Genomic DNA, 13,472 nt, shown 5'->3' on the forward strand with positions numbered 1-13,472 from the left:
TAGGTATAGCTCACACTTCAGGGGAGGGATCACTGGAGGCCAGCTTAGAGGCTGCCTGCCACAGATATCTTTTAATAGAATCTTTTTGAGAGAAAGTTTGATTTTTCTATTGCCAACATTTAAATTCTCTGGTCCTAACCACAGTTGGCGTCAGAGCATCTTGAGACCTGAAGTGATATGATGCAATACCCCATCAAGAAAACAGATGGGCAAGCTTGCCTTCTATGGCTCCTGGGACTGATCATAACAATCTGCCCTCTTTTCTTCCCTTCTTGAAATAAAATTGATTTAAAATCTCTTCTAATTAGGTTACCATCAAAGTGTTCTGCTGTGTAGAAAAATTCTCTGATGAATACCTTTTACAAACCATCTTTTGTAAACAAGTTTTAACTCATTTAACATTTCATTTAAGAACATTAAAGAACACCCTTAAATATGAATACGCCTGGAGCCTTGTCTCCAAAACTACCTATCTACCCATCTGATAAAGTTTGGATGCCCCCTCCAAATCTCATGTTGAAATGTGATCCCCAGTGTTGGAGGTGGAGCCTGGTGGGAGGTGTCTGGGTCATGGGGGTGGATCCCTCATGGCCTGGTGCTGTCCTTGCTATAGTGAGTGAGTTCTTGCAAGATCTGGTTGTTTAAAAGTATGTGGCACCACCCCCTGCCGCCAACCCCGCACTCTCTCTTTGGCTCTTGCTCTTGCCATTTGACGTGCCTTCTCCTGCATCACCTTCTGCCGTGAGTTGAGTTAAAGCTCCCTGAGGCAAACAGGAGCAGATACCAGCATCATGCTTCCTGTAAAGCTTGTAGAGCCTTGAGCCAATTAAGTTTCTTTTCCTTAGAAATTATCCAGCCTCAGATATTTCTTTATAGCAATGCAAGAACCACCTAACACACCATCATTCAAGGAGACCTGGTGGCCAGGTGTCTAGTCCCAGGAATCAGCAGCTGCCTCAAAGGATTATGACCGAGAGGGACCATGATTGAGAATCTCAAGCTTCTTACAAGTAGAGAGGCTGGCTAGATGCCAGAAGGGAAGGTTATTTCTGGGTCCCCTGACTTTTGGACAGACCTGGCCTGTGAAGTCCTGCCATCCTTGGGCTATGTCATGCACCCATTATATTCCAAGCCATGTGGTCACATAGGCACTATGTGGGCCGTTTTTCCATATTTAAAAAAATTAATTTCTGAATTCTTAGCCTTGGCATTTCACGTTTCTAAAACGAAGCCGAGAAACCTCATGACTCTATATCAATATGCTTCTGTGCTTAAAAACATACAATAACCTCAGCCACTAAAGAACAGACTGGATATGTCACGATGTAGCTCATGTTCACCTGCATTCGATGAACCAATGCCGGATCTGGTCTTGAAGGTTCTCCTTGATATCCACGCCTTCTATCAACTTTAGGTCATTCTTGATGGTAACCAGGGCTTCCCTGTAGTCCTCTTCATGCTTTATCTGCACCTCATTCCGCAGGCGGTCCACCTTTTCAGCCTGGATTACTGTAGCACTGACTTCATTAAAGAGAGGAGGTGGATTCTGAAAATATATACAAGCAACAAGGTTTGAGGTCATAAAAGTTACAGAGTTGGTAAAAATATCAGAAACTGAACAAATGTGTTAATATCTTCCATAGTGTCTAGCAAAGGCAAATAAGAAATACAAGCATCCAGAGGAAGCAAAGCTAACTGAGTGCATTTACTCAGTGTATTTAATCCAAAGTCCCTGACATAATGCTTTATGTTCTTTTGTTTTGAAGTTTTCAGCTTCAGTATGTTTGAGGTTTCTCTCCTGTCAACAACATAGATCTGGATTAAAAAAACTCAATCTGAGAATTATAGAAAAGAAAAATTTTATTCATTGTACAGAAGAAACATTTGGAGATAATCTTCTCAAGTTTTTTATCTAACACACTTTCTTGTTTTTTTTTTCTTCCTTTCCTACCTTCTGTTGGATTTATGTAGTTTTGTTCATTCTTGTCATGCAGTGGTTTAAAAATTATACATCTTATTTTAATCTTCTACTGGTTATCTTAAAATTTTAACATGTTACTTAACATCTACATTTCTATCTGTCTAGAATTTATCATAATCTAGAGCTTCTTTGAACAAGTATAGGACCTACGCATGTGTTCACTTTTCTTCCCACAACCTCTCGTTTTATAATATCATAGACTGCAATTAATTTTGAAAAGCAAGATATGTTTACATTTAATTATGAGATGTTCTGGTTTCTCTGTTTACCCTTTGCATTAGTCCATTTTTGCACTGCCGTAAAAGAATACTGGAGGGTGGGTAATTTATAAGGAAAAGAAGTTTATTTTGGCTCACAGTTCTGCAGGCTGTATGAGAAGCATGGTGCCAGCATCTGCTTGGCTTCTGGCGAGGCCTCAGGAAGCTTACAATCATGATGGAAGGTGACAGGGAGCCAGTGTCTCACGTGGTGAAAGGGAGCAAGAGATAAAGAAGGGGAGGTCCCAGACTTGTATAAACAACCAGATCTTGTGTGAACTGAGAGAATTCACTCATCACCAAGGGGATGGTGCTAAGCCATTCATGAGAGATCTGCCCCCAAGATCCATCACCTCCCACTAGGCTCCACCTCCAACACTGGGAATCACATTTCAGCATGAGATTTGGAGGGGACAAACATCCAAACCATATAACCCTTTTCTTCTTTTTTGTATTCAGTTTTCATTTTGCTGAAGTATGTCCTTGAGTGTAACTTTCAGAATGAATATGTACAGCCATAAATATTATAAGGACTAGCATTTCTAAAGATGTCTTCATTTGGCCCCTCCCACTTGAATGGCATTTTGGTAGTTCCCTTGAGGAATTCTACTTCTAATATGTAGAGTTTCCAGTTCCTTTTTTGCAAATTTAATTGTTGTTCCTTTGCAAATAAGCTGTTTCCTCCCTGAAAGTGTTTATAATGCTTTACTCTCAAGAGTTTTGAAAGTCCATCAAAATGTATGTAGGTGTAGGCATTTCTTCATTCATTGTATTCTCCTTTGGTAGGTCTATACAATATAAAGAATTGCCTTCAACTCTTCAAGTTTTCTTTCTATTATTTCTTTTTCTCCATTTCCTTGTCTGCAATAAACATTAGATAAATGCCAGAGCACCAGATTGATCTTTCATGACTCTGAGCTTTTATATTTTCCATTTGTCTATTTGCACTAGGTGATAGTGCAAATAGGAGAAAAAAAATCACTATGGTATGGTGCAAATAGGAGATTTCTTTAGCTTTATCTTCCAGAAACAATTTGACTTTCAGTTACGTGTATCATTTGGATTATTTAAATTTTGCAGTGGTTATTGTTTTAATTTTTGGCATACTCTTATATTCCCAGAATAGTTTCTTATTTTATACTTGTGCCTTCCTTATTTTTTGTGGTCACTATGGCGAACACTGTTGTGCTTCTGGTCATTAGGGCAGCCTGCACCAATAGCTAAGTGGGTGAAATCCAGGAATACTAGGGAGCTCTGGAGTAAAGAAATGTCCAAGGGTAAGAGAACAACATTAAAGTCCATTTTGAAAGCTGTGAAACAAGAATATGGCAACATTCAAGACCCTGTTTAGAAAAGACATTAGCAAAACTATAAACTTAGATCAATTACTTGGAAAAAAACATTATCTTAAAGATTCAATTCATGTCATAAACTAAAATAAATTTTAAACGAATTAGTTAAATGTAACACAAATGTACACACACATATACACACACTCTCTAAGAAATACCTATGAACCTCTGGAGGTGGAAGGGATTTCACAATGAAGATGTCATTAAAATACAGTGTCCACTCACCCCATAAAATCAGTTAAAAGAGAAAAGGAAACCACATATATCATACTTTGTAAATATATGCATTAGAAAATCCTAAGGAATTTGAGCCAATTTTCTAAGTTTAGTAAAATGAGAACATATAACTTTTCTTTTTTGGAGACAAGGTCTCACTCTGTCACCCAGTCTGGAGTACAATGGCACAATCTCAGCTGAACCTCTGCCTCCCGGGCCCAAGTGGTCCTCCCACCTCAGCCTCCCAAGTAGCGGGAGTACAGGTGCACACCACCACACCTGGGTAATTTTTTGTACTTTTTGTAGAGATGGGGTCTTGCCATGTTGCCTAGGCTGGTCTTGAACTCCTAGACTCAGGCAACTCGCCTGTCTCTGCCTCTTAAAGTGATGGGATCACAGGGGTGAACGACCATGCCCGGCTGAGAACATACAACTTTTATGATGCTAGAAAAAAACCCCTAAAAATTACTTTTTAAAGTAATATAAAAGCGAATATGGAATGAGAATTACAGAATCATTTTAAAGAACAATGTTAAAAACAAATGATCATTAATTGCCCCAATAAAGGTACTCAAAAGCATGACTTTTCTTTATATTATGTATTTTGTGTCAAAACTGAACAGTAGGAATTTCCTTTATATAATCATTAAAAATATCCAATTCTTATGTCGTCCAGGTAATGTTTTTCATTCCTCGTGCTTACATCTTAAGTGTGTAAGACAGAAGCATAAATTCATATAGAGACTTTAATCTCTCCAATGGCTAATTTAGTTTTCACGGAGATGTTAAAATGGATATCTGCAATAAATGACTCAAATTTCTTTTTGCCTCTGATGAAAGTGTAAAATTGTTTTGAAGTCTTGTATTAATAATGTCACAATTATCTACTGTATAATGTATCATCTGATGTTGCTTTTCTCCAAATTACGTTGTTCCTGTTGCTATTTGAAGATTTCCTTCATAGATGTTTACAGACAAACTATATTTTACCTGAGTCTTTTCTCCTTTCATCCCTAAAAATGAATGAATGAGCAGGTGACTTTGATTTGTGTCTTGTCAACAGCCCTATACGAAGTGTCCAAGAAACTTCCTAACACTTCCACAATCCATGAGTGCAACAAAACACTCAGCTGTCATTGGATTTTCCTGATAGCCCCTTGGCATGGTTCCCATCTTACATATTCCTGTACCGCGTTTCTTTATTCATGTCCACATCTATTTTTATTTTACTTTTATTTATTTATTTAGTTTTTGAGACGGAGTCTCACTCTGTTGCCCAGGCTGGAGTGCAGTGGCGCGATCTCAGCTCACTGCAACCTCCATCTCCCGAGTTCAAGTGATTCTCCTGCCTCAGCCTCCTGAGTAGCTGGGACTATAGGAGTGCACCACCATGCCCAGCTAATTTTTGTATTTTTAGTAGAGACAGGGTTTCACCATGTTGGTCACACATCTGTTATTTGAGGTAAGAATGAAGACATGACTATCCCACTTAACAGATGAGGAAACAGAGGTTCAGAACTCAGTGACTTTCCCGTCATTCCATGTTAATGAAGAATCCAGCAGTGAGGCTTCCCGGCTCCTTTAGTGCTGTGTTTCTCCTATTACACCATGCTGTGCTGTTAGTATGTGTGTATTCATGCATGTTTCTTGATATAGACTTTCTCTGACAAAAATACATTTGGGTAATTTGTGGCTCCTTTCTCCGGTTGCTTTTGAATTTAAAGGTTATAACATATTTAGGTCCTATGTTAATGAGCAGCTTTTCCTTTGGGCTAAAACATCTTTTCCTCTTTAGCAACTTTGGTCATGTGGAATTCAAATTTGTTAACTCACTGCATAAACAGCAACTCATTTAAAAATAAATTACAAATATTAAAGGAAGATAGAGAACACGATAGTATGCTATATATTGAAATACATCAGCTGTAGAATAATGCATCTTAATGAAGGCTTCCCATGTGAATAAACCATTATATTTACAAGCTTTCCATAGTTAATGACCCAGAACTGGATAACGAAACCTACATTTATAGCAAGGTCCTCCGTCAGCAAAAATATACATATTAATAATTGATGTTGCTGTAAAAATAGGACATAATGTGATGCCTCCTGAGTTTGCGGGGAAATAGGACTACATGGTCCATTAACTTAAAATGCTTATCTAATGTTTGATGGGCTTTGTCTTTAAAAATCCTTCTTCAAATTAGTAAGAGAAAATGGACATTTGTCCAAATGAAAGTCTGCTCAATTTATCAGCTGCAAATATACTTGCAAATAAGTGACTGAATGCTGTTAACTTTCTGGGGCAGCTCGCTGTCTTGCCGGAGTGTGCTCTTCGTGGCGCTTTGTTGTTACCAAAGGTGAAGAAGGAGCAGGGTAGACATCTATTCCCAGCAAATGACCATCCTGTGAAATTTCTCGCCATCGTCAATGCAGAGATTGATGAGCACCACGGCCCCCCTGGACACCTCAGTGTTCATTAGGAAGCACTTAGAGGCGCGTGTTCGGTCAGATCATTGGGCTCGCCACATGCCCTGGGTCTAATTTTGCACATGGAAGACCTCACGCTGCGGAATGCACCGCTCCTCAGTCGGTTCATTTCAAGATCATGCGAAGAGGGAGGTGTTCTTTAGTTTGTTAAAATCAGCCATTTTGTTTCATCATTTCATTTCAGAGTAATATATCTATATTTATGTATCTGTGTTTATACAATATACCTACTCATAAAGATGAACCCAGCAGGAGAAGTGAAAAAAGATAGTACAGATAGCTAGAGCTGATGGTTTGCTTTTGCCCTCTGCTCAGAGTAAAGTTATGGTAAATCTTTATCTCAGATGCAACAATTTTAGTGGGCACAAAACTATTAAAGAATAAAAAATGTTCTAGCCTGTTAAGCCTAATTTCTAAAAAAAATTTTAGTATATAAAAAAATTGCTTTATTAGGAACTGGGTTATAAGAGGTCTAGTTGTGCTTATAATTAAATAGTGGTGGGCTTTTCATCTGTTACTTTTGTGCACTACTTTCTTTAAAAATATATTAAACACTTTGATGGCATTTATGGTTTGCTAGGCACTATTTTAAGTGGTTGAAAAGTATTAACTCCCTTACTTCTCAACACAGCCTTATGCTACTAGGTAGCATTACTATCTTCATCTTATATATGAGAAAATCGAGGTACACAGAAGTCAAGGAACTTGTCCAGGGTCACACAGCCAGGAAGTGGCTGGGGCTTTGGCCTGAGGCATCTATTTCTGGAGTCTCTGTTCTTACTCTCCGTGCTTTGCTGTCTCTCTCTGCTGATAGGTTTCCTCTGACTTAAAAAAAAACACTTTTGGGTACTATAGACCATACTTTTATAAAAAATGTGCATTTGTAATTGTAATACTGCTGAACTACCTTGCAAAGAGGTTGGACTATTTACTCTCCCCTCACAAGAAGTGCATGACAATATCTGTGCTTCTATACCTTGCCAACACTGTAACGTTAACTTTTTTGATATTTGCTAACTTAAATAGGTAAAAGATGGCAATTTAAGAAGGACTTTTGAATTATGAATGATGTGAGCATCTAAATGCATGATTATAAGCTATTTAAAAAATTAATAGCTAACACTTACGTAGTGCTTACTGCATGCTACTACTGCCAGACACTAGTTTAAATCCCTTACAGACAGCAGTTTCTTTAATGCTTAACACAAATCTATGAGCTAGGCGTTATTACTACCTCCATTTTGCATGTATAGAAACTGTGACACAAAGGGGTCAAGGTGCCAGCCCAAGTTCACACAGCTAGAAAACAGTCGGATTGGAATCTGAACCCAGGCAGGTTGGCTCCAGGGTTCTTGACCTTAACGGCTTTAATCTGATGCATTAGAGCACTTTGCAATGAGCCCTCATATTAGATAAGTAAACACAGATGTCCTGCCCTAGAATGTAGACAAAAGATTCCTGGGCTCAGGGGACAAACAGGAGGGTAAGGAAGAGAATTATTTTCATCATTTAGTCTCTGATGATCTGGAGACCTGAGACAAGAATAAAACTGCATCCCAATACAAAGAAAAAACTAAAAATAAAACCAGAGGTTCCCAAGTAACTAGATTGCAAAATCCCACGTAATAGAAAAGAAAATGGTGACTTTTCCTTTTTTTCCCCAAAGCCTCCTAGAGTGGCCTTTTGAAACCACAGATGCTTCCAGGCGTCCTTCTTGAAATTCTAATCTCCTCACTCAGGTGTCTGATGGCCCTGAAGACACAGTTGTATAGGATGCACTGCTTGTGTTTGCAAACTTTTTGCTGGTGCAACAACACAAGCTGTGTGCACAGGTAGCACCATTTTTGCCTCCACAATTCCCCCCTGCAGCTAGCTATGGTAGACGCAGGTGAGATTTAAACCCTATGGGCTACTCCAAACCCTTTGCTTTACAGGATCATATTTTTAACAGACTACATTTTCAGTTCATAACTTCAGCAGTATATGATGACAAAGGCCAGGACGTTTTATAGTTGAAACTCAGTTGCACATGTATTTTACACAACAATCTATTTATTTTGAATAGTTTGTGTTTTGTTGCATGAAAAGTTATAGTTGTTGATAGTTTTCCACTGTATAAAATCAGTCAGATATCGTGACAACATACTATAATTTTTCAAGATAATTAATATCAGCCAGCATTCCATAATGGCATATCCTATCCCAAGCTCCAGGCTAGACCATTTTCCTTCAATCTGTCATAAGGGCCTCCTAACAGCATCTCTGTGAAATAGGTAGCACTCTCCAGCCCCTACAGAAGAAGAAACTGAGGCTCACTGGTTAAGTATGTCACTCAAAATCCTTCCATTGGCAAACTGCAGAGCTGGGCTTTGAGCCTAGCTCTGTCTGCCTGGGAAGCGCACACTCCCAACTGTCCCCCAATCCCATGCCTGGTTCTCCCTCAATGCAGGGGAGCAGGCCTTCAAAGCTGGTGCCTGGAAACTCACACTCGTTTCCAAGGTGCTGCTTCCTTCCCAGGACATGTAGGGAACAGCCCTTTTGCATTTAAAAAGTGTAACAAAACAAAACCAAAGCCAAACAAAATCCCACAAATCACAGCAAATGTATTTTTTGAGAATAATATTTTTTTAAATAAAAATAATCAAAGATCATCTGCAGCAAATATGATGAATAATGCACATGACCAAGCTAGACTACATAGTTTCATTTCATTTTGAAATGAAAGTGTGATCATCAAAGAGCATTTCATTTAGATTCTTTGCTCACTTTGGCTTTGACAGCAATTCCCAAAGAGGAACCCCATGTTCTGAGGGCAACAAAAGCACAATTACAATATGCACAGAGCTTTCCCAAACAGAGTCTCGGGAGAGGGCCACGCTCATTTGGGCGCCCAAGCTCGTACTTGAGGTTAGTTGTTAATAAGAAAGAAATTGAATGTATTGGCCAAAAAATAATTTAGAATACAGCTTGCCTCACGTTAGAATGGGAAAGTGAACAGGGTTTTACGATGCTTTTAGGATTCAGTAGATGCGTTTAAAAGTGACAGGTCTTCCTCTTTAATAAGTGTTTCCCCAGTGTTCTTTATTATAATGCAAACACTGATAGCTTCAGGGTAACATAAAATATATGATGGTCATGACTGTAGGACAAATTATTTCAAAGGGATCCACAAAATGAAATGTATTACAATCATTAAGTTTCCTTCTACTTGATCCACTCCATTGGCTCTGCCAATTAAAATAACTGCACATAAATTTTTAGAGTGCTATTTATTTTTCTTTGTAGATTTTAGAATATAAATATTTAAAATGACAATATCCAAAAAAAAAAAAATTTATATGACAATGGTAAGAGAAACATTCGGTCAGGAATTGAATGCATGATGATGTCTCTTGCTCTAATTCTGGTTTCAGTTACTAAATAGTCACTCCTAGAAATATGCCAAGCATCTCCTAAAGATACAAATATGGTTTTGATCAGATAAGTCAATGATTTCTACATTGGTATAGTGCAACAAAATGAAATCATAAAAAATAAATTTTAAAATGAGTAGGTAATATCTTAACCAGTGATATAGTGGAAAATATATTCAATTGCAAACATTTCTTTGATTTAGGGTGATAGATTTTGGATTTTTAAAAATGGTTTCCAGCCAGTGAACAGAAGACAACATTCTTTTAAAAACTGAATCCATATATCTCTCAATGGTGTACAATTTCAATAGAATATGTAATGCCAAGTGAAGACACACTCAAAAAAAAAGCAAACTGAAGAAAGTCACATTGAATACAAAACAGACGTTATTCTCTTTATACTATTCAAACTGTATTGCTGAAAAAATTAATACAAACTTCATTCATTTGAGCTGAGTACATGTAAACTACAAAGTAACACTAAAATAAAGTTAAAAGCATGTAATTCTATCTTTGTATGGTATCAGTGTAAGCTAGTAAGACTTTAGCATGAACAAACTGTGTTTAGCCATTGCCTAAGTTTCTGGTGTGTGGCACAGCATAGGTGTTCAGTAAATGTAGACTGAATTAAATAAAATGGAACTCTAATTAAATAGAAGTTGTTGAATCCCAACTGATTCTAAAGTAAAATTTCATGTTAAACTTAGACTGTACTAGATTAAATCTTTTGACTTCTAATTTAATTTTTAAAGTAGAAAACTGGACATAACAATTGTTTTTATCATTACATTCTATATCCATGTGTATTTTACGGGTGTTGAACAGAGAAATACTGACATATCATCATGTACCTACCTATCCATATACACCAAACAATCTGGAGATCTTAGGGGAAAAATTTATGAAACTCTACTGCCATTTAATATTACTTTTTTTGTTTTGTAAAATGTAGTACTATTTATTTTTAAAAATGAATGCATAATAGATATACATATTTTCAGGGTATACGTGATATTTGGATATATTTATGTAATGTGTAATGATCAAATTAGGGTAATTGGACTATCCATCATCTCAAATATTTATCTTTTCTTTATGCTGGGAACATTCAAATCCTACTCTTTTAGCTATTTAGAAATATACAATTGATTATTGTTAACTATACTCACTTTATTGAACTATTAAACACTAGATCTTATTCCTTCTATAGAACTGTATTTTTCTACCCATTAATCAATCTCTCTTCATTTCCCCTCACCCACCTGCCCTTCCAGTCCTCTGGTAACCACCAATCTATTCTGTATCTTCAGGAGATCCACTTTTTTAGCTCCCACGTACAAGTGAGAATATGTGATTTTTGTTTTTCTGTGCTGGCTTATTTCATTTAACATAATGACCTCCTGTTCCATTCATGTCTGCAAATGACAGGATTTCATTACTTTTTATGGCTGAATAATATTCCATTGTGTATATACATACCACACTTTTCTTTATTCACTTATCTGTTAATAGGCACTTAGGGTGATTCCATATCTTGGCTATTGTGAATAGTGCTGCAACAGGCATGCAAGTGCAGATATCTCTTCAATGTATTGGTCTCCTTTCTTTTTGATATGCACTCAATAGTGAGATTGCTGGATCATACGGTATTAGGTTGGTGCAAAAGTAATTGTGGTTTTTGCCATTACTGTTAATGGTTCTATCAGCCTAATAGTTCTATTTTTAGTCTTCTGAGGAACTTCCATACTGTTTTCCATAGTGGCTAATTTGCATTCCCACCAACAGTGCACAAGCGTTCCTTTTTCTCCACATTCTTGCCGGAATCCATTATTTTTTGTCTTGTTGATAATAATGTACTTTGATTTGATTTTGTATATGGTGAGATATAGGGGTCTAGCTTTAATCTTCTGCATATGGTTATCCAGTTTTTCTAGCATCATTTATTGAAGAGACTGTCCTTTCTCCAATGTAGGTTCTTGGAGTCTTTGTCGAAAATAAATTGGCTGTAAATGCATGGATTTATTTCAGGGTTTTCAGTTCTGTTCCACTGGTCTGTGTGTCTGTTTTCAGGCCAGTATCATGCTGTTTTGGTTACTACCGTTTTGTAGTATATTTTGAAGTCAGGTGGTGTATGTAATACCTCCAGCTTTGTTCTTTTTGCTCAGGATTGTTTGGGCTATTCAGTGTCTCTTGTGGTTCTATAGGAATTTTAGAATTTTTTTTCTATTTTTGTGAAGAATATCATTTTGATAGAGATTGCACTAAATCTGTAAATTTCTTGGGTAGTATTCATATTTTAACAGTATTAATTCTTCCAATCCATGAGCATGGAATATCATTCCATTTTTTGTGTCCTCTCCAATTTTTTCATCAGTGTTTTATAGTTTTCCTTGTAGAAATCTTTCACATCTTTGGTTTAAATTATTCCTAGGTGTTTCATATTTTTTGTAGCTACTGTAAATGGGATTACTTTTTTGAATTTTTTTTAGATTTTTCACTGTTTGCTATAGAAATGCTACTGATTTTTGCATGCTGGTTTGTGACCTGTAACTTTACTGAATTCATTTATAAATTCTCACAGTTTTTTTATGGAATCTTTAGGTTTTCCTAGCTATAAGATCACATCATCTGCAAAAAAGGCTAATTTGACTTCTTCCTTTCCAATTCTGATGTCTTTGATTTCTCTCTTTTGCCAAATTACTCTGGCTAGGACTTCCAGTATTATGTTGAATAAAAGTTGTGAGAGTGGGCATCCTTGTCCTGCATGTTTCATGTTTATTGATTTGTGTATGTTGAACCATTCTTGCATCCCTGGGATGAATCCCACTAGGTCATGGTGAATGACCTTTCTTTTTTTTTCCTGATTGTATTTTTTTTAAATTGTAATTTCCAGGGTATATGTGCAGGATGTGCAGGTTTGTTACATAGGTAAATGTGTGCCATGGTGGTTTGCTGCACCTATCAACCCATCACCTAGGTATGAAGCCCCACATGCATTAGCTATTTTTCTTGATGCTCTCCCTCCACCGGCCCTCCACCTCCAACAGGCCCCGGTGTGTGTTGTTTCCCTCCCTGTGTCCATGTGTTCTCCTTGTTGTGAATGATCTTTTTAAAGCATTGTTGAATTTGGTTTTTTAGTGTTTTGTTGAGGATTTCTCCATCTATGTTCACTGGGGATGTTGGCCGGTAGTTTTCTTTTTTTGTTGTGTCTATGTCTGGCTTTGGTACCAGACCTTATAGAATGAGTTTGAAAGTACAAATGACCCTTGAACAACATGGGGGTTAGGAGTGCTGGTGACACACACAGTAAAAAAATCTACAAATAGCATTTGACTCCCCAAAACTTAACTACTAATAACTGGTTGATCAGATGCCTTACTGATAACATAAACAGTCCATTAACACATATTTTATATATTACATGTATTACATACTGTATTCTTACAATGAAGTAAGCGAGAAAAAAGAAAATGTTATTAAAATCATAAGAAAGAGAAGATTATTTACTGCTCACTAAGTAGAAGTGCATCATCATAAAAGTTTTCATCCTCACTGTCTTCAAATTGAGTAGGCTAAGGAGAAGGAGAAAGAGGAGAGGTTGGTCTTGCTGTCTTAAGGGTGGCAGAGGCAGAAGAAAAATCTGCTTATAAGTGGGCCCATGCAGTTCAAACCTGTGTGGTTCAAGTGTCACCTGGTCTTTTCTTCTCCTTAATTTTTTTTAATAGTTTGAGTAGTATTGGTATTAGTTCTTTAAATGTTTGAT

At 37.1% G+C, this 13,472-nt stretch overlaps 1 protein-coding gene across 10 annotated transcripts in view; it reads right to left on the reverse strand.

Moving 5' to 3' along the window:
* Positions 1 to 13,472, reverse strand: part of DRC11 (dynein regulatory complex subunit 11) — a 200,792-nt gene that overhangs the window by 157,480 nt on the left and 29,840 nt on the right. For all 10 annotated transcript variants that reach the window (XR_007081589.1, NR_073043.2, NM_001270584.2 and 7 more), the window contains exon 6: positions 1,341 to 1,546. Coding sequence is in view for 8 of the 10 variants with exons in the window: in NM_001270584.2 (NP_001257513.1) it covers positions 1,341 to 1,546 (206 nt within the window). In the remaining 2 variants the exon portion in view is untranslated. The remainder of the gene's footprint in view (positions 1 to 1,340; positions 1,547 to 13,472) is intronic.

This window comes from Homo sapiens, chromosome 2 (assembly GCF_000001405.40).
Source record: "Homo sapiens chromosome 2, GRCh38.p14 Primary Assembly".
NCBI lineage: Eukaryota > Metazoa > Chordata > Mammalia > Primates > Hominidae > Homo > Homo sapiens.